The sequence below is a fragment of the Homo sapiens genome, chromosome 2, assembly GCF_000001405.40.
Source record: "Homo sapiens chromosome 2, GRCh38.p14 Primary Assembly".
Lineage (NCBI taxonomy): Eukaryota > Metazoa > Chordata > Mammalia > Primates > Hominidae > Homo > Homo sapiens.
The window spans coordinates 103,872,650-103,894,475 of NC_000002.12; the positions used below are offsets into that span (position 1 = coordinate 103,872,650).

The window sequence follows — 21,826 nt, forward strand, 5'->3', positions numbered from 1 at the left end:
GAAATTATCAATAGGCTTCTTTGTTTTACAAGTGGGACAGTGCTTCCCTGGTGGAAGGATGAAGTGAGTCATAGGGTAATGGTAACCAAATTTGCTCTACATAGTAAAGGTGCCCTGCTACTCCAGTAGGTAACGTCACGAAACAGAAGGTTTCAGTCCCTGAAGTATCTGACTGCCAATGATTTGAGACTCAGTAGCTGTATGGACAAGGAAGGTTGAAATTAGGATAACCTGCAATGGAGTCTTAATTTCATAGCTGATTCGATGTGTGGCTTCATATGTCTTTCTATCTTTTCATTTTCCAACAAATATCCTTGTGAGATATTTGTGCCCACTTGATTGATTCACTACCATAGAATGATAAGAAAAATGAAGAAGAGATGGAACACATTTAAAAAAAATGGTTATGCCCTCCTGTGGTTACCATTTAGAAATATATTTTGCAGAATGTCTGTTTTGAATGGAAGCCTGATATTTGGGCCTCGTTTGCCGGATCCCTCTGTAGATTGTATATCTCCTATATGGTTGGGGTAAGCCTGCCAAAGCTTTTCCTTCCTTCGTCTGCTAACCTAATCAAACATTTGCTCTCCTAAAACAAAGATGGAGCCAGGAATGTTTTTCTTATATTTCAATTGCCACTTGAAACTGAAGACTCAATTTCTCCTGGATCATTTCAATACCTCATTTATGGTTGGCATTTACCCGAATTCACAGGTTGTAAACGCTTTAAAAGTTACACTGAGTCCTTATGGAGAACAGGGGTTTCAGTTTCTGAAATGGAGCTGCAAATGTGCCCTACACTGTTCATGGCATACACCAAATCCAGTTTTTAATGGATCAGGTTGGCATCATTTAGGTATGGCATGGATGCAAAATGTTCCTGGAGCCCCCGCCCCCCCCCCCCCATCAAGGATACAATTGTTTCTAAGTTTCAGAGTTGAATGCTTCATTAAATGCTGGAGCATGTGACATAATGGGCTTCCCAATTGCTAACTTAATATTTAGCTTCCAAAATTCTGAGACAAACACCTTGATGCCCCCTCAGGTCTCCACAATTAGCCACATTTGCTAATCTTTCCCAATAAGTCTCAGTAGACAGAAAAGAATGCAAAGTTTTAATTTGCTAATCACCCAGTTGGAGAGGGGCCGTGGGGGGAGATGCTAATCATCTGCAGACATCTGTAATGACCCTTGGACAAAACCGAGGAAAACTAAATCAGAGCTTTGACAAGGGCAGGAGAGCGGAAACAGAAGCCCTAATTGTGGCCATGTGAAGTGCACTTTCCCGTTTTGTAGCTTTTGTAATAGAATTGCACAATACTTTATAAAGTAACTTTTATAGACAGACCCAGAAATGACTTTTTCCATCTTTGGGGATAAATGGTCAGACTTGATCTGTGAAATATGCGAAGAAGAACTGACATTATGGTGCAAATGTAGCAGACAAAAGGGTTTGGGCGAGCTTTTGCCGGTTAAATTTGGCTAACCTGCAGAAAGCCTATTGTCAAGCCAGCCATGCTTCACTGAGCTCTCTTCCCTCTTTATGGTTAAGTGAACCTCAAAACAATGACAAAGAAATATGCACTGAGTCACATATTCTAAGAAATAGACTGTACTCTCCTCAAATCGAAATAACGGCACTTTAATTCTTGGATTTTCCACATTTTCGTTGGTAAAGCTCCTATTTGCTTTCTCTGAATCTGTATCAGTTCATGCAGTTCTGCCAAGTGGGGAAGCTTTGCAGGACACTGCCACTGTAGCACTTGAAATATTAAGATGAACAGAACAAGCAAAAGGTAAGCTTACTTCCTTGCAGTATTTTGAGTGTCTGTTTCTTTGCTTGCAAAAGTTTACGTGTTCTTGATTGAGAGAGGTTTTGTTTAATACCCATCCTGATTCAAATAAACTACTCTTGTTACTGTTTTTAATAGCTGAGGTATAGAAGGGAAGAAAAAGAAAGAAAATGTGATGCCAACTCACTTATAAAACAATAAAAATCCATAGGTTTTGCACTTAAATATAGATATACACGGACATAATTGTCAGAGTTGAATTGTATTCTCAAATGGGAAAACTGGGAAAATGGTTCATGATTTTTCGTAGCTTCAAAAGTTAATTTTTGGATTATTTTTAGTGAACTTCTTTTTAAGAATGAGATTTAGGAAATTTGATAGAGAAAAAATAAGCATGGTCGAACATCAAACAAGCAGCCACTTATGAAAATATTTTCCCATTCTCCCCTGCTGCACTTTCTTGTGATTAAAATAACCTTTATAAATGGACATTTTAAAGAGTTTTAGTTTAAAATGGCCTCCAAAACCGGCCAAACATCAGAGATCTCGAATTTTTTGTTGGTAAAATTTGCTCAGTCAACTCAGGCTGACATTTAAGTAGTCCAGTAATTGCCCCTCCCAGAGTGGTGTCCTTGGGAGAGGGTCTAATGGAGTGGTGAATCTTTTTACTTGTCTCTTCCCACAGCAAGTTCTCTGGTTTCAGTGTTCCAAGTTCTCCAGTATTGAGTTTTTCTTGCTGGAGTAAAGGCAACCAACTTTCTCTAAAACACTTCCTAAAAGCTCCCAGTCAATAATTCCGTGCTACTCCCTCCATGGTCTTGACAGTTCCTCACAGGGTTCCTTACTGTTTTTCAGCCTCAGTTTTCTCATCTCAGCAGGGGTCTAGCAACCCACATTCTGATTTAGTAGTCTTTTACCATCTCCAGGAAATGCAAAAGCTCATTGATTGCTCCTGCTCTTTTTGTGTTTCCTACCTTCTCACATAGGAGTAAATGGAGTTCTTAGATGAAGAAACTCTCATGTTCAAAAACCTTTCACCTTTCTAGGAGTACCCACCCCTTTGGATGAACAAAAAATAGGAAGAGTCTATATGCATTTCAAAGGCTGCTTGGAGTATTTCTGTAATAGGAAAGGAACGCCTTAAAAAAAAAAAAACTTCTTAAAGATATGTAAAAGCTGCCAGATTCTGATTTTGTAGCAAGTTACTCTGCTTTCCTGGGAGTATATGGATTGTGAAAATTGATACAGAACTGGAAAAGAGTTCTGAGTAGAGCATCCCAAAAAAGTATGGCACCCATGTGACCAACGTCATCCATTTTTGAGGATGAAGGATCCAAACATAACATTCAGTGTTATCATGTTGATATGCTCAGTAAAGCGCCTTTCAATAAGTTAAATATAATACAGAGAAACTTATTATGGAACAGGGAATTATGTGGTTAAAATTATATCTACCAATTTCACTTGCTAATCTCTCCTAGGAAAGAAGTAGATTTATAGTGAAGTATAAGGGCTTCATGATGGCTTGCTGATGTCATGTTTAAACTCAGAGAACTTTGCCACAGAATGGCACTTCAAAACCTTTTCAAATACAGACCATAACAATAAAGAATACTCAAAATATAACTGTTTGGGAAGAACTGATAGGACTACAGATATTCACTAACGTGTAACCAATATGTATTTTTAGTGACCTTACTGTGGATATATGTCATTTTTATAAAGATTGGGGAGTTCTCTAATTTTTGAATTTGAATAAGCAACTATGAGGGAAAGTTTACAAAAATGATTCATAATTTATCTCTGTGGAATTAGAAATTCAAGGACTATTCTTGTAAACTTAGAGGATTTTCTGATGATTATTTACTTTGAAGTCTAAGATTCTGTTTGCTGATAATTATTAAAATGCAGTTTAAACAGTATCTTAGCTACAAATATGTGATAAATTACTATTTGTAGCTTTTATATTTTTCATTGCTTCCAACAATATCTGATAGTAATGTAAGGAAACTTTTGAAAAGGTACTATGAAAAAAATCTTAGGAATGATTTGTAACCCTCTAAAATGTGTAATTTCCATAAACATCAATTACTTCAAAACTTAATACATTCTTTAAATTTTTGGAACATAATTTATATTTCCCTTTCCATATCTGTGTACTCAATGCCCCGTGTGTGAGTGCTGTTAAGTTTATATATGGGGGTTAATCGAATCTGGAATGGAAGAAGGAGTTGAAAACGGAAATGGCTAACATATGTCAATTTTACATCTCAGTTAGATAAATCATTAGTTTCTAGGGAGAAAAAGCAATTAAAAAATTGGTGGAAATAAAAATATTGTGAAGACCGTGGTACTGCACTAGGGCTGTAGGCAGCTTCAACTATTGCTCTTAAGACCTCAAGTGTGGTGCATTCCTGCTCCCAGCTCCCTGCACACCGTCTGCAGTTACAATATTTTACCAGTTAAAAATGATCACTTTACTCTTTTACACTAAATTTCCAGATTTTGACTGTTTAATAAGTGACCTAAAATAATAACCTTTCATATCTAAAGTACTCTCCTAACTATGATCAACCTTTACCAGAAAATCTAATTATTTTTTGAAATAATCTAAATTACAATGAAACTTTAAAAAAGTGAATACTACTTAGTTAAATTGACATCTTATAGGTACATATATATTTGTATGTGGGTATACATATTTTGTGGAGTATATTTGTATGCGGGTATACTTATTTATTTATATGAAACCATTGCAGATGATATGCCTACATGTATATGATTATATGAATTTGCTGACACTGTTATCTCTTAAAGTTTCTCACACAAGTTTCCTAAGCTTTTAATAATGACTGAACACACAGCAAATGATCCAGAGCAGATTACTATTTAATTTATTTGCTAGGAAATGAATGGATCCACTTGTATTCAATAATTGTGATTGGAATTAAATTAACCTAGAATGAATAAGAGTACATCTTCTTTTTACTTTGTAACTAGTATGAAATTTCTCATGGATTTCATTCACTACCCTACTTTTATGAATTATATGACTATGATTTTATTGCTGTCAGTTTACACTAATACGATTTTTATATGTCAGAAATATATATAATATTGACATGAATGTAATATTAATCTAGCTATGCATTAAATATCTAGGTTCATATCTGATATAAAGACAAGAACCTTTCAAAGTTTGAAAGACTCTCATCTTCAAAACTGTACATTTTGTTTAAAAATGTTATTTATAATCTTATTAACATACTCCAATTATACATATGCTTAAATTGCATTAGCTAATGGTGAAGATTCAGACTTTTCTAAGTTTTGATTTGTCTATTATTTAATTTGAATTATTGATATGATGACATTGGAAAAAACATATAATTTATATTTTTGCTTTAGAATATTCACTTGTGTAAAACATTGAAAAATAATAGGGGAAACCATCTATCCCCAACATATACATAGTTGTAGATAACTATGCACCCTTGCCTTTTAACAAGTTATATGTAATACAGAGAAAATTTATTATGAAACAGGGAATTATGTGGTTAAAATTAACTGAAAAGTAATTTTTGTTTCATGGAACCTGACTTTCCTTACTTTTAACTTTCATATGTATTTTGTCTTTCAAAGAAGGCCTACTCTATGCGGTATTTAAATGGTCTAATTCAGCTTCCTTTAACCTATTGTTCATTTATTTTATTCAATTTATTTTTATAATTATTTTATAATTAAAATTATTCTTGCTCTATGTGAGAGTGTTATAACTTGAGTAAAGCAAACACGAACTCAAAGAACAACATTAACTTTGGACTGAAACTAATCACGGAACATTATAATCTTGAAGTATGATTCCTAAGGAGGTTATTACGGAATGAATAAGTTGATTATGATGGAAATTTTCCTCCTGGTGTCATTCTGGTCCTCACTTGCATACAGTGCAATAGAACTTCACTAGCACTCATGTTCTTCAATATTTGCTGGTGTAACAATTCACAATTGAAGTCTCAACAGTGATGGTAACACTTAAATGAAATTGTTCTACATAATTTCATGATATATGAAAGAGATTAAAATAATTAAATTGCTTTAATATATCCCATTAGTGTTTGAGATATCTTGATTCACATTTTCTTTTAAGCCATAGAAAGTGCAGTTTCTGTCCTAGTAAAGCAGCATTTCATGAAGTTGGGGGTGGAGAGGGGTGACTCCAGATGCTGAGAGAGAGGGTGTTGGGGCAGCGAGACCAGAGCTGAGGTGGAATAGAGTCAGTAAAGGACAGTGACAATATCTAAATTTTTATATGAATCTGTGAGTTTGAATTAGGAGAAATCTTACATGCAAACTTTCATTTTACATTTAACTGTTGCTCAAAACCTAGAGAGTCCATTTTAAGACCAAAAAAAGCCTGTTTTACTTCTTAATTTCTATGCTTTGAGAACTCAAAATTCAAGGAAAACATACAAGAACTAGTCCTCAAAATTTTTCTGAGATTAATTGACAATTTCAGTGTTATTGCCTAGTGACTGCACATCTGAGCAATGCTTAGAGTTGGAACAATATGTGTTCTTCATTTGAAAGGGGTTCTACGGTGGTAACTTGTCTCCTTTTTTATATAGATATATTACAATTGAGTGGCTTCTTGCTGCTACTGTAATTTAGATTTATAATCAAACCACTGCACCCATATTAGAGTGCAATTAATTACATGGTATCAAAAGGAGAGTGAACATAAGAGGAAACTGAGAGAGAAGTAAGTTGCTTCAACGTGGGGAGAAATGATGAAACCTTATGGTACTCTATTCTGTGAGTATGGCTTTGCCCAAGAATGTAAAAATTGCTATGGTTATTCACTGACAGGATCTTGTCCCTTTTACAACACCAGAGTCTGTCTTGAGAGACTTTGCCAAATGTACCCTGCCCAGAACTCCAAAGGCTAGGAACACACTCCCAATCACAGTCAATAGCATTAATAACCCCCCTCCCCATGAAATCATTATGCTAAATGCATCCAATTCTCTTCTGAAGACATTTCTATTTCTAATTCTATTCATTACTCACATGGCAAAAAGCAAAGTTATTTTAAAATCCAGCCTCTGTATGGCTGTATGGTAGAAATTGATGAGGCACACAATTTTTCCAAGTGGATATATTTTTGACATTAAAATTATTTCTTTAAATAAGAAACGTTTATAGGAAAAGTGAACTCAGTTAGACGGACTCAATTTAGGTAAAGAAAACTTTGTGAGCTTTGCTCTGAAAGATTATTCATATTTGACCATGATGGGAGGCTGTTCTCTGCAAGGCTTTCTATATTTGTACGATGCCCTTTCTAGGAATATGAGCAGGAAAGGAATTTCACACATCTTTCATTCCATTCTTCGGATAACAGTACATTTCCATGATACTTTGCAACATTTAATGTTTTACAACTACCACAGAAGGGTTTTTTTTTTTAAATAAAATTAGATTTGTAAAAATAGGGTAAAAAGAGCTCAACATGTGCAAGCTATGCAGCAAATAAAGTAATTTCCTCTAAGTCTGTGATATTGCCACTTACCTTAGCAGTCTTGATTCTCCTTCATGATGGCAGTTGCTTAGGACTTAGAGCCACAGAAAACATAAAATACCTAGGGGACATATTCCAGTACTGTACATTAAATTTGAGGATTTTACATGTGATAAAGTATGTCAGTGTTGCTTACAGGGAATTCCAGTGATACCTCAGCTTTCTTGGACTTATTATAAATCCTTTGTTGGAATTATTGTGGCTGGTTCAATAATTCAGATTAGCCCTCATGTTTATTAATGCACTACATCTGTGCAAACAACATGTCAAGCAGAGAGTTTATTGTAATTGCCTGAGCAAACAGAACCTGAAAGAAGCAATTTCCAGTTACAATGTGCTATGACAAGTAATGAGGTAATTGGCATTCTGTCCTGATTACTTCCACCTTCTTTTTCATCAGGTCTATATTGTGTGTGATAGATAGTTTTATAAGAAATGAAGGTGTTTGATAATATGGTTCGCTGCTGCTTAAGGTTAGTGATTAAAGACAATCATCATTTTCTCTCAGAGATCTTATTAGCTTTAACATTATTTATTCATATGTGTAAGGATGTGCGCAGGACCCAACTTCTCAGTGCACTGCATGCCGTTAAAATGTAAACACAACTGCCACTGAGTGAATGCAGAGCATGTTCTAGGTTTCCAAGCATGATGGGACACAGTGACTTTCTGCAAATGAAATCTCTGTACTAACAGTGTGTGTTAGAATAATGGCTTCGAGCTGCATCTGTATCCAACATTCACCTGCTTTAGAATAACAGAAGCAGCATGATATTTAAGGGCAAGATGGTAATTTGATGCTGAATCCTCATTTTTGTGATTTTATAACTTTCTACAGACATTACCCTTTGCTTGCAGCCTGCAGTGAGGAAAAAAGATGAAATGCATCATGATTCCAAACCCATCATTAATAGTTTAGAAAGTTTAGGAGTCCCAGTCTTAGAAAAAGAAAGAAATTAGGAAATAAGCAGAAGTTACTTCAGGAAGAAAGAAGAAAAACTGTTGTATTTTTATTTCAAAGAAAGGTTTTCTTCTTAATTTATACCCGTTGCTGTTGACATTTTCAAATCTATCAAGAAATTTAAAAAAGCAGTACCTTTAGATGAAGAAAATGCCTGGAGAATAATGCACATTCACTCTTTTTGCTCCCATCATTTTAAAGCTATCTTTAGATTGGTGTTTTCCCTGCTACTGACCTCCTATCATTTTCCAGGTTTCACCCTAAGTGCCCCTTCCTGACTGCCCTGGCTATGTGCTCTCAAAGCTCCCACCATCCTTCATGTCACAGGTCAATAGTTGTTTACATATCCATCTTTCCAGCTAGACACTATAAACTACATATGGACAGGATCCTGTCTGCTTACTTGGAAGGGCTATAGCTGATCGACAGTGATCTCAGTATTGAAATTGTGCTGTCCATAGTGAAATTCCAGTTCTGCCCCTAACAGGTGACATAAACTCAGACAAGTCTAAAAATTTTCTTAAACTTTATCAACCCATTTGAAAAATCAGTCTAATAATTCTACATTTCTCATAAATGCCATTGAAAAGATCCAATATCAAGGGTGTTAGAACAGTGCCTGGCATGCGTCAAAGAAACTCAGTCAATATTTCAGACATGGATAAATGTCCACTTGACAAAACTCATCTTCCAGGTCTCACTTTCTAGAATGCCCCATTTTTCCTAGTATTAATAAGTCAAGCAAAATCAAGCAGGAAATGCCAATCTATTCAGCCATACCTTACATTCTGAATGTACTCAATTCTATAAGATTGCTAATAGGAGACATAATGAAAATGGGGGAGTGGGTACACGTAGAGAAAATTGGTATAACTTTTATGGTTTATTTCCTTAAAAAGGCCCAGAAGGGCATTAGATCTTTCAGAAGCTAGTGGAACTCATCCTCACAGTTGGTAAGCCTAAGAAATCTTCAGACACTCATGACCTACCTTTGACAAGATTGTGGGCTACACTACAACATTCCAGTCTTCTAGTTGGAGAGGGACTCTCAGTTCCATACCCAGCACAAAATGAATGAAGACCTGCAGGAAAATTCCTATTAAGTATCCCATAGTCAGAAACTGATGACATTCCACATATTCTGATGGGAGGCCCCATAAAGTCACTATTGCTAAAGAGAATTCTTCCTCTAATCCATTTGCAAATTCCAGTACCAACCTGTGCTTCAGTCCTTGTGCTTACATTTTTTTCGTTGTTTTAAAGTGTGGATAGCTTTGTAAAAAAATATCCAGGGCAATTGCTTATGCCTCAGGAAGTGGAGAGAAAGAAAAATAGTGCTGGCACACAGAGAAGACTGTGAGTCTGGGACAGAGCTGTAAGGAAGACAGGCCATGGTGAGCAGGAGCAAAACACCACACTGAGACAGGACCTCTTCAACTCCTCATTTTCTTCTTTGTTTTCTTCATTTTTTCTTTACTTTATCAATATTTTTGAAGGCATATTATGAGCCAAGCCCAGTGTCCAGCAAGAGTAGCTACCTACAAGCCCTTGTTGAAAGAATGGATAGCGGGGTGGATAAATTGATGAGGGCTGTGCCAGGTGTCTCTACCTGGATTTCCTATTAGTTACAGCAGACACTCTGGGGAGAAGTCCCAAACTGTATTTAAAGGTAACAGCAACCATTTATCCAAATGCCATGTGCTTTCTTACTTGTGTCCACCTTCTCTGATTCAGAGTAATAATAACCATCTAACTTGGAGATGGCAAGCCTAGAAAGGAATCATTCCATCACGATTGCAGGATTAGTGGTTCAAAAAAAAAAAAAACTTATATCCCCACCCAAAAAAATGCACTTTCTACTGAAGAGGACACTTTATTGAGTGTCCCCGATGTAGTAATGGAAAAGCAAGCACCCAGCACTAACTCTTGCCTGAGAAACTGAGGGGCATCTCCACAGAATTGAGGCCTATTTCATGCTCTGGTCTTCAAAATCTTTGATAACATCTGATGCATAAGGTGACAGAGCCGACAGAAAGTCCAGAAAACTTTGGAGATTTAGACAGATATAATTAGTCAGAAGTAGTAAAGATTTGTATTAACTAATTTACAGAGCCTTAACTTTTATTTCTTCCAGATGAGCTTATGTTATGAACTTAATGCTAAGTACATTCCAGAGGAGGGAGAATCAAAGGAGAGAGAAGGGTAAAATTAATTAGTGCATTATTTATTTAGTTAGTTAGTTTAAAACCTAGAAAAGGCAAAAAATGCCGTGTGCAAAAGGTTTAGGTATTTCCATAGAGTGAGGTTGACCCCAGGCAGCAGTAGCATCTAGCACTTATGTACCACTCATTTTGTATCAAGATGTTATGTCTATATTTGATATTTAATTTTCACACAATATTCTGAAAATATTGAAACTAAGAGGTCACACAGGTAAAAAGAAAAAAGAACTTTGTCCATCCCCAATGTCCATGCATTTTCTACTATTCATCATTTTTACTCAGGGGACTTGTTAGAAAACTAGAGAAATAGGCTATACATAAAGGATTAGGAGGTGGAAAAGCAACGACCGATTTGTTTCTGTAGAGGTCTTGCCCAGATCAACTCTTGGTGAGGATATGAGAAGCGGCTGTGGTGCTGGTTGAGGAGGTGAGCCAGGCTGGGGCCTTCTCTGGAAAGCGGCTGTGAGTCCGGAGTGCAGGGAGCTTGAAAGCAGAGACCCAATGATTCCAACAGAAAGGAAGTGAGCAAGAGGCCAGGAGCACAAAGAAGCGACCTTGCCTAGAAGTAGCTCTGTAGCAAGAAAGGGCACAGACTTGACCTCACAGATCCTGAAGCCGGTATTGATCAGAGAAAGGTCTGCAGCCTCAAGAATGGGCTGTCCTTTGAGCTCAGTCGGCTCCCGAGTGCAGAAATGAGCCTGAAAGGACATGGAGTGCCATTGATTACAGGGTGCATGTATCACTGCAGATTTGGTGGGATTTTAATTTCTGTGAAAATAATAATTTAAAAAGGAGTAGCACCCCTCCCTCACACAGGAAAATTGCATGAAGGAAAAAATAATACGTATATATAATTTTAAATAAATATAAGAATGCATTTTATTAGTTGAAATTTACATGTACCCGATCCAGCTAAAAAATTAGTAAAAGCATGAGTGCTGGCTGAGAGCTTCAATAATTAGGATCATTAGTGAAATCATGAACTAAAATTATATGTATACCTTGATATTCTTCTTTCATTAAAGCCATTAGTTTTCTGTGACTAAGTAAAAGGTACTTTTAAATATATTTTAGGTGCACGTTAAAATCCAATAAATCTTTCCAATGCTAAAGCCTTCAATCAAGATTTTTCTTTAAAGATGGTTAGTTGTGTCCATAGAAGTACAAAGTCATGGTTCATGAGCTTACTAAAAATTCTGTTCTAACAGAGGTATTACCTTGTTATAATAGTTAAAAACAGCATTATTTTAGGTGGCTACGTATAGATTTACCTAAGGATACAGCAAAAAACAAAACAAAGCAAAAACCTATACAGATAATCAGACTTAAAATAAATAGCCAAATAACCGAGTTGCCAAAATAAAAGGACTGTTTTTACGCCTACTTTTTCATTCATTCATTCATTTGTTCATTCATTCGACAGATATCTTCCAGTATATAAGGAAGTTTGCTATATGACAATGAAGAGATCAATGGTCATCTGTACCCTTTATCACTCATTCGTGCATGTCTACTTAGCCCTCAAATACTTACAAAGTCTGTTTTCTTCATAATTCTCAAATGATGTTCTCATTATATATTTCCACATCCACTGAATTAGGAAGTCATCATTTCTTGTCTAGAATTGCAGCCGCCCCTTAACTAAATTACAACTCTCATAGCAGAAGAAAGGAATAGGATTAAAAGATGGCATGGGGCATTTGAACAACATGTAATTCATATGTCTGTGTAAGTGTGGAAAAGGTATAATACCTTCCTAATCCATCATAAGAGTCATGGTTGATAGTACTATAACAACAACAACAAAAAAGTTAACAAAGAAAGGCATAGCAAATTTATTTCATCAAAGTTTTACATGACACAGAACGCTTAAAAGTGAAGACCCCAATAATTAGGAAAAACTGTTTTTATGCTTAGGTTCAATGAAGAATGGGCAGCTATGTAGGGACAAAGGGTATGATCTAACAGTAATCCAGTGAGGAGAGAAACCCAGCAAGGCCTATCTGCTCAGACTCTTCTTGGCTTCTGTGTAGCATTTCTTCCTTCCAGGTATGAGGCAGGACCCCTCTGAAATGCGGATCTTCAAAGGAAACAGGAGAAGAAAGAGAGTGACCGTTTAGGTTTTATGGCTTGTTTAATGTTCCAGTTTCTATGACCCAACTTACGAAAGAGGAATTCTGGTTTCTACGAATGCTTCGGGGAAGGAAGATGAGCAGGAGGCTGGTTCTGAGGCCTCTCTATCGCCTGTAGTTCAAAGTACTTAGCACACCAAAGTGCCACAATTTGGGGTACATTTTCTGAGCCCAACAACTGGAAATAGGTAGACAAGAATGTCTAGTGGGTACAGCAGTATCTAGAGAGGTAAAAGGGGGCAAAATTATCTAGTACCAAGTTGACTAAGTCAAGGAGTTTATATCCTATTTTGGACAGCATAAGAAAACATGAAAGGTTTTAAACAAGGGAAAGACATTCTGTGATTTGCTTTTAGAAAGTTTAGCCAGTGGATCTTGGGTTATATGAAGGGCTGTTTAATTTGTAAAGTACCATACAAACTCAAGGTATGACTACTGTTATTTTTTCTTACTAGTCTAACACTCTTGAAATTAGGCATACTGTTCTTTGTATTATTTTATATTGTTTTATTGCATTTTATTTTTGTATTCCTGGCATGAGTTAAAGCATATAGCACATATTAAGAGAACAAAATAAAAAAGGAAGATCCTTACCTCATAAAAATCAGTTAAATATGCTTAAAACCTAAATGTAAAGGGGAAAACATTACAACCTTTAGAAGAAAGTATAGAATGTTTTTAGGTCCTCAGGATGAAGGAGTTTATATATAAAGCACAAGATGCACTAAATTAAAGGAAAAGTCTGACAACAAATTACCTTAAAATTAAGAACCTCTATTCATCAAAAGACTACCATAAAAAAGTAAAAAGAAAAAGTACAAACTGACAGTGGATATTAGCCACATACATAACCAACTAATATTCAGATTCTATGAACTCTATTAATTAAAAAATTAATAGAGAAAAGGGCAAACAATATAATAGATATGGACTGGAGGAAGAAGCATGAAGAATCAATAAATATATGTAAAGTCATTTGATCTCCACAATAATTAAGTAAATTAAATCATAATAATATCCCACTTGCAACCTCTAGATTTTCAAGAAAAGAAAGGTAAAAGTCTAACAATAACAAATATTGGCAAGGATATAGAAAAACCAGGGACTCCCAAAGCTGCTAGCATTGAGAATGGCACTGAAAATTGGCATAACTTGTGTGTGAACAACTTGGCATTATCTAGTTTACTTGACCTTCATGTATCCTATGATCTAGCAATTTCACTCCTGGAGAAACTCTGGCACACATGCATCACTCAACATGTAAGAAAATGTTTATAGCAGCACTGTTTGTCAGAACAGAAGTAACTAACTCACTCAAGTAAATTCAAATGTATTTCTACAATTATATAATGGAATGAAATATGGTGGTGAAAATGAGTAAACTGGAGCTACATGCAACAAATATGAATCTTAGTTACATCATGTTGAAAAATCACCAAGTTACATTTTAGACTTTATTACTAAAGGTAATAATTAGGTCTTAAAAATAAAGTTAAGAAATAATAAATAATACATTACATAGGAGTATGTCCAAGCGTGATAAATCCATAAATAAAAGTAATAGTTTTTTTTTTTAAATACAGGATAATGTTTACATCTAAGGGAGAGACAAGAGTTTGGGATTTGACAGGAGAGAGCTACAAGAGATATAAATGGTAATGCTAAGATCTATTAAAGAGATATAGTTGCTGACATTTGTTAAAGACAGTAAGACAGAATTTATTCAATAAGAGGCCATTTCAGTAGGTATAGGGACCATTGCAATGGGAGAGAGATTGGATTAGGCTCTGAATACAGCACAGGCATGTAGGAATGTATAGCCAAGTAACAGGGTGGGGATCAGTGGATAGAATATTACCAAGGGGAAACATCAGGAGTAAGAGGGAATTCTGGCAAAACCAAACAAATAGAATTTTCTCTGAAGACAAGCCGGGGTGCAGACATCACATGGGAGGTGGTGGAGGATGAGGAACCTGATTAGATATCGAGGGTGATCAGATATGGAGGATAGGAGATTCTGACTTAAAAACTGACTTAGGATTCTTACTAAAATTGGACAGTGCAGAAATGAACACAAAAGTCCAAAAGTCAAAAGCTACTTGAAAGAAAGTTCAGAAGAGCCTGAGTAGAATTTGGTCTAGAAAAGAATCTTTGCTGGATTCAATTTCTGAAGTTGGGTATTTGTTTCAGAGGCGTTTGCTTTATTATTATGCTTTATAAGGTATATGTATGACATCTATATTCTTATGCATGTATCAAATACTTCCCACTAAAACATATGAGAATAAATAATTAACAAATAATTCCATTAAAATAAAAGTCATGTATAGGCATTTCTCAAAAGAAGATATACAAACACCCAACAGGCATATGAAAAAGTGCTCGACATTACTTATCACCAGAAAAATGTAAATCAAAACCACAAGAGATATCATCTTACCCCAGTCAGAGTGGCTATTATTAAAAACACACACACACAAAAACATGTTGGTGAAGATATGGAGAAAACTCTCTCTAGTGGTGGGAATGTAAATTAGTACAACCACTATGGAAAACAATATGGAGATTTCTCAAAAAACTAAAAATAGAATTACCAGTTGATCCAGGTAACCTACTACTGGGAATTTACCCAGAGGAAAAGAAATCAATATATCCAAGTGATACCTGTACTCATGTGTTTATTGCAGCAAAATTCACAATAGCAAAGATATGAAATCAGCCTAAGTGTTCATCAGGTGATGAATGGATAAAGAAAATGTGGTGCATATATGCATATACACAATGGAATACTGTTTAGCCATGAAAAAGGACGAAATCATGTTATTTGCAGCAACATGGATGGAACCAGAGGTCATTATGTTAAGTGAAATAAGCCAGGCACAAAGAAATATACCTTAGATACCTCGTGTTCTCATTCATATGTGGGAGCTAAAACATTTGATCACACACAGGTAGAGAGTGGAAAGATAGAAACAGAGAAGTGAGTGGAGGGAAGAGGAGGATGAAGATAAGTGGATTAAAGTGTAGAAACATACACCAAACCAGGAGGAATAAATTCAATGTTTGCTAGCTGAGGAAGGTGACTATACTTAACAAAAATGTATTGTTCTTAGGTGATAGACACCCTAAATACCCTGATTTGTTCACGATGCATTCTATACATGTAACAAAATTTTTCATGTACCCCATAAATTTGTAAAAATAAAGATAAAATCATAAAAGGAAAAATCTAAGCAAGCTTCTTTTTAAAAAATAACAATTTACAATGTAGAAAAATAGTGAATGAGTGCATGATGCTCAATGTTAACATCAAATAAATTAAGCAATACACAAATATTATCACAATGGGATCTGAGATGCGGAAATACATGCATAGGTTATGTTTCAAATTAAGAGCAAATTCTCTAGGATTTATCCCACCATCTTCTTCCCACCACTGTGTTGGTTTTGAGTGTCATCCTTTGGCTGAGGGCCCCTCTACAGCTTTCCCCTCTTCTACTCCCTTCCTGTAGTTCAGACAACACCTTGATCACAAGCTCAACTATATATTGTGAAACTGATCATTATTCCCTCCTTGAAACCCTTCAATAATCCCATGGCTCTCAAAAAAAGTCCATGCTCTGTAAAATACCACATGCTTTATTTTCTTACATAATCCATTCCTTGTGGCCTTCTGACTCCTTCATCTTCCCTTTCCTTGCTACTGTCCACTGCTATCTAGGTGCTAGGTACAGTGAAAACATTAGGGAACACTTATACAACCCATCCTATGTCCCAGATGCCCCTCCAAGCACTTTATATATGTTAGAGTCACAGCAATCTTAAGAGGTACACACTGCTTTGTTTTCAGTATTTGACCCCTCCAAAACTCATGTTAAAACTTAATACCCCATGTCACAGTAGTGAGAGGTGGAGCCTTTACAAGATTATTGGGTCACAAGGGCTGTGCCCTTAAAAATGAATTAACCCATTCATAGATTAATGAGGTAAGGAATTAATGGGTTACTATGGGAGTAAGGCCTGCGGCTCTATAAGAAGAAGAGAGACCTGAGCTAGCATGGTCAGCCCCTCTCAGTGGCCCTGTGATGCCTTGTGCTGCTTTGGAACTCTGCAGAGTCCCTACCAGCAAGAAGGCTCTCACTAGATGCAACCACTTGACGTTGGACTTTCTGGCATCCATAATGGTAAGAAATTAATTTTTTTTTCTTCTCTTCTTTTGTTTGAGACAAAGTCTTGCTGTTTCACCCAAGCTGGAGTGCAGAGGTGCTATCTTGGCTCACTGCAACCTTCGTCTCCCAGGTTCCAGCGATTCTCCTGCCTCAGCCTCCCAAGTAGCTGGGATTACAGGCACACACCACAACGCCCAGCTAATTTTTGTATGTTTAGTAAAGATGGGGTTTCACCATGTTGCCCAGGCTGATCTCAAACTCCTGGGCTTAAGCAATCCACTCACCTCGGCTTCCCAAAATGTTGGGATTATAGGTGTGAGCCACCATAATTACAAGAAAATATAATTAATATTTAAAATTTTAAATAATATTAATTAGTTAATTGTAATAATATTATTAAGTTGTAATCAGGTATTCTGTTATAAGCAATCAAAAATGGACTAAGACAATTACTTATTATTATATTAATTTTACATTGAGGAAACAGATCCAGAGAAGTAGATTGTCCAAGCTGTAACAGCTAGTTAAACAGCAGGGAATGGAATGGCTGGCCCTTCATACGTGACGCTTTTTTCCTGCCTGATTCCTGCTTCTTCATTCAGACCCACGTCAGTCACACTCTCCTTTGTGAATCCCACCCTCCAACCACACCCCGTCCCTACGACTAGAGTTGATGTCTTAGTGTTCCTGCGTCACCTGGTACATGCTCCACCACAACACAGTTCGCAATTGCCCCCTTGTTATTTCACCATTACCATCATCAGAACATTGTCAGTTGCTGGCACACAGTAGTACTCAATGCATATTGACTAAATTCATGAATGAGTAAAGGCATTTAGCTAAATAGTGATCAAATCCAAAATTTACAGAGTATTTCTTTTATGTCTTTATAAATATTACTTTCTGTATTTCTCCTTGCTAATTGATTCTTAATATTATTACACTCTTATTAAAACAGGAGTTAAGCATTTAGAAGCCATGCAAACAAGTAACATTCAAATGTGTGATTTACTACATTTATATTAAATTAAGAGTTATTACAATCACAATAAAAAAAATAAACTTGAAATAAGAACAAAAATGAGCTCCTAAAAGTTCTCTAGAATAAATGTTGGAGAAGTCTGTATTCTGCAAGTAAGTATGGTTTTAAATAATTTAATTCATTAACTATGGCAAATTGAACCCTTTTAGAGAATTAACTGATCACCTCCAGCTGTGGACTAAAGGGTTTAAGATTACACCACCAGGGGATAAATAATTTCATTAGTCAGTCAATTTCAGATCTCTTTGATTGGGCAGCTTGTCTGCTGTCCCTGATCAAGGAGCTTGGCTGACTCTGGTCCATACGAGGTACCATCAGGAACTGGGCTGAGAGAAGTTAGGAATCAGTCAACTCTAACAGAAGTTACGGGTAACAACCATCATGAATAAGGAGATAGAAACCTGCAGTGTAAGTCACATAGCTTTAGACATGATTCATTTACAAGTACTTTCTACAATTTTAAGAAGAAATATTATTTCAACTGTAGAATTCAGTGATTTCAATATTTTCTGAAGCAAAAAATTACCAATTCTTTCAAGATCCAGGACAATTCCACCAAGGCTACCTGTTGGCTATGAAATGCAGCCCAGTCTTCTTGTGTAGGGGGTACAAAAATCATGAAAATCAGGTTCTCCACTAGAGTAGTCTTGTGGTTATTCTGGAATTAACAGGTACCCTAGAGATACTTCCTTCAGGGAAGCATGTGGGTTGTGAGGTGCTCTTTGCAAAATCATTAAAACATGGAGAAACCAAAAAAAAAAAAAAAAAAAAAGAAGAAGAAAAATCAGTCTCTTGAGTCTTTCATTTATTATTTGATGCCAATAAAGTAATGGAATGGCTTTTTCTTCCCCCCTCCCCTACCTTACTTCTCATCTCCTCCTCCTCTTCCTCCTTCTTTATCAGGAAATGTAATTTCTTAGTTGTTGTGTCATGTCCAAATTGCCCGGTATGATGGTATAGCAAGCAATGGAAGAAAATGAGGTGAAGAGGAGAATGAAAGGATATTGGTAAACATGAGATTTTGTAGAAAATATCTAATTCGCCCAAAAGTGCCCACTGGAAGAAGTCAAGCAGGTGGGGGAGGGAGGCAAGGAGGGATTGACCATCATCTGTGCTCACACGTGCACCAACAGCTGGGCTAATGGGAGATCAAGAGACCACATGATTGCAGAAGGAGATCAAGCCAGTACATCAACATGACCTGCAGACTCCTGAGCCCTATTTGAAGAAACTCATTTGCAAATCCCTCAATAGTTTCATGCCTTCATAAGGCGTTAAAGTGCTCCATCCAGGATGGAGAGGTCAAGAAGGGAATCCAGGTGGGAAGCATGTGTCAGGAGCGCCTGATTATGTCTGATAAAGAAGTAAGAATCACTGGTAATTCTATTTAAAAACATTATATCAAAGCATCAAATACTGTTTTCTACAAGTAGATCATTTAGAGATTAAAATAAATCATTTTTCTATTTAAGATATTTTTAGGATTTCTTCATTTTTACAATGTGGACTGTAAACTAAGTCCTTCAGCAATCTTTATTTTTTCTTTAATATTTCTAGACATGTGACCCTATTAAAATTAGAATAACATCATCAAAAAATCTTTATTGTGTACCTACCAGGTGCATGACTCTTTGCTGAGGCAGAATTTATAACTATTTATAGTGTAATACTGCATATAATGTATTTTTTAAAGCCCAAAGATAACTGTGCTGCCTGCCTGTGTTGTCAATAATAGAAGTTCATGACATTTGATTTGAGTCTTTGTGAGAGGCAATGTTATTCTCATTTAATAGCTTCCATCTGCTCTTCCCATTTTCATTGCTCCTTTTACAGTTTCCAAATTCCACCCTGTACCCTCCAGGGAAATTTTCTCAAGCATTGATTCTATTCATCTATGAATTGGAGGAGGGGGAGGGTTCTTCTACAGCCTTATGGTTTTGTTTATTGATCTTGATTGTGAGGCAACTTGTTGACATGCATACACTTGCTTTTTTATTTTATATACATACATATATATCTATGTATGTGTGTATGTATACACACATGCACACACATATCTGGTGTTGATAAGTGCTTAGTAATCTTAATGATTTAGCTCCTAAACAAAACTTGGTGTTGAAACCTTCCTTTACAAAGTAAAATAGGGGAACATTCCATGAATAAAAATGCATAGAAGAGAAACTCCTCCTATATTATTAATCCATCACCAAGCAATTTTTCCCTGTTACTATAAAAAGAAAAAAGTATGTTAAAAGTTTACTTTTTTGACTTAAAAGAATGTGAATCTAAAGCCTTATTTACAATTATTACAATATATTGCAATGTTAGTCAAATATAAAATATTAACACAAATTTAACACATTTGGGAAGGTTTATAGACATACTGGCCACATGTGGCATTATTTTAAACTTTTTCATTTTAAAAGTAGGTATTATTTTCAAGTGAATAAAATAATGTAATTCTGTCTTGACATTATATACCATCAAATATTATACTAGATTTCTGAAGTCAAAAATTGAATACAGAATATTTTTACTCTACTATCATCAAGGTTTTACAAATGTGTTTATCCTCAGACAAATAAAGAATAAAAATATTTTACAAATACTCATCATAAGCATGATTCATAATTATTATAATATGTTTTATCATTATTTTTTGAGAAACTGTGTTTTATAGCTTAACACTGAAATGCTTTCAACATAAAAATCTCAGATGGGGAGACTAAGGAAAAGTTTCAGTAATCTATACCTTTAGTATAGAACTTCCCATACTTATTGGCCTCAGAATAGGATAAATATTTTTTAGATAAACACTTTGGGGAAATTCGCCTTAATTCCTAAAGGAAAGGTGAAATATATTAAAATGAATAAAGTTGACTGTGGTTGTGGTGATAGGAGCTGCCTTTGCAGAAACTTGGAAGAACCATACATATGACTAAGAGGAACTGGACTTTAAATTTTCCTTCTGGGCTTTTCCAAATGCCATTTCCATTGCCTCAGTGTCATTTAACTATAGACCTACCTGAAGGGTTTTCGGCCCAGCTCTCTACACTCTGATAATAAATAATCAAGTAACAGTGCACAAGTCAATATATCAATATTTTATCTGCTTCACCTAGACTCTCCCCTCTAATTCAGAATTTTTAAATGGAAAATTAAATTCATGCTTTTGCCTTTACTTTGCTGTGGTTTCCACTTTTTATTTTACGTGATTCTTACCTACCAGCTAGATAACAAAAATAATTCCATCTGCCCCACAGTAGCCCAAACTGTCACTGCAATCACAATACATTCAACTACTATGTTAACTATACTTTGCCTTATTTTATACATACTTCTATCCATGTCATCTACTTAACTAAATTTTATATCTTTTGGTGGCAGAAAGCTTGTCTTTTTATCCTCTGTAGCACAAGACACAGTGCCTTATACATAGTAAGTTTTAAATGCTTTTTTTTTACCAAAATGGAACCCCAAAATAGTCATCCATGTCTATGCTGATAAATTAATTAATTGATTCATTCATTCATTTATTCTTTTATTCCACAAACATGTAGCAAAGGCCTGATGTGCTAACCATTGTTGAAGATGCTTGAGATATAAACATGCATAACACAAAATCCAGAGAATCTGATAATGACCCTGGGTTTGAGATTATACCTCCTGAAACAATGAATATATTATTTAAAATAAAATCTGTAGTAGATTCTACATGAACGGATATTCTTATATGTAATGAAATTCAGATATCTACATCATCCCAAATCAATTTCACACTTCAACAGTTCCTAGAGCTTGGCCCTTTTTAATTACTCAGCTGGATCCTCTATTAACCAGCTATTTCTCACATTTTCAACTTTTTCAAATAATTCATTTAAGAGTTTCTCTAGATGATTTAAATAATTTCCTTAAATAGTTTCTGGAAG

At 35.6% G+C, this 21,826-nt stretch overlaps 1 long non-coding RNA gene across 1 annotated transcript in view; it reads left to right on the forward strand.

The window, feature by feature from the left end:
- The first annotated feature begins 1,639 nt into the window (after window positions 1-1,639).
- LINC01965 (long intergenic non-protein coding RNA 1965) overlaps window positions 1,640-21,826 on the forward strand; it is a 205,982-nt gene continuing 185,795 nt past the window's right edge. The window contains exon 1 of the long non-coding RNA XR_001739621.2: window positions 1,640-1,796. This is a non-coding gene — a long non-coding RNA (long intergenic non-protein coding RNA 1965). The remainder of the gene's footprint in view (window positions 1,797-21,826) is intronic.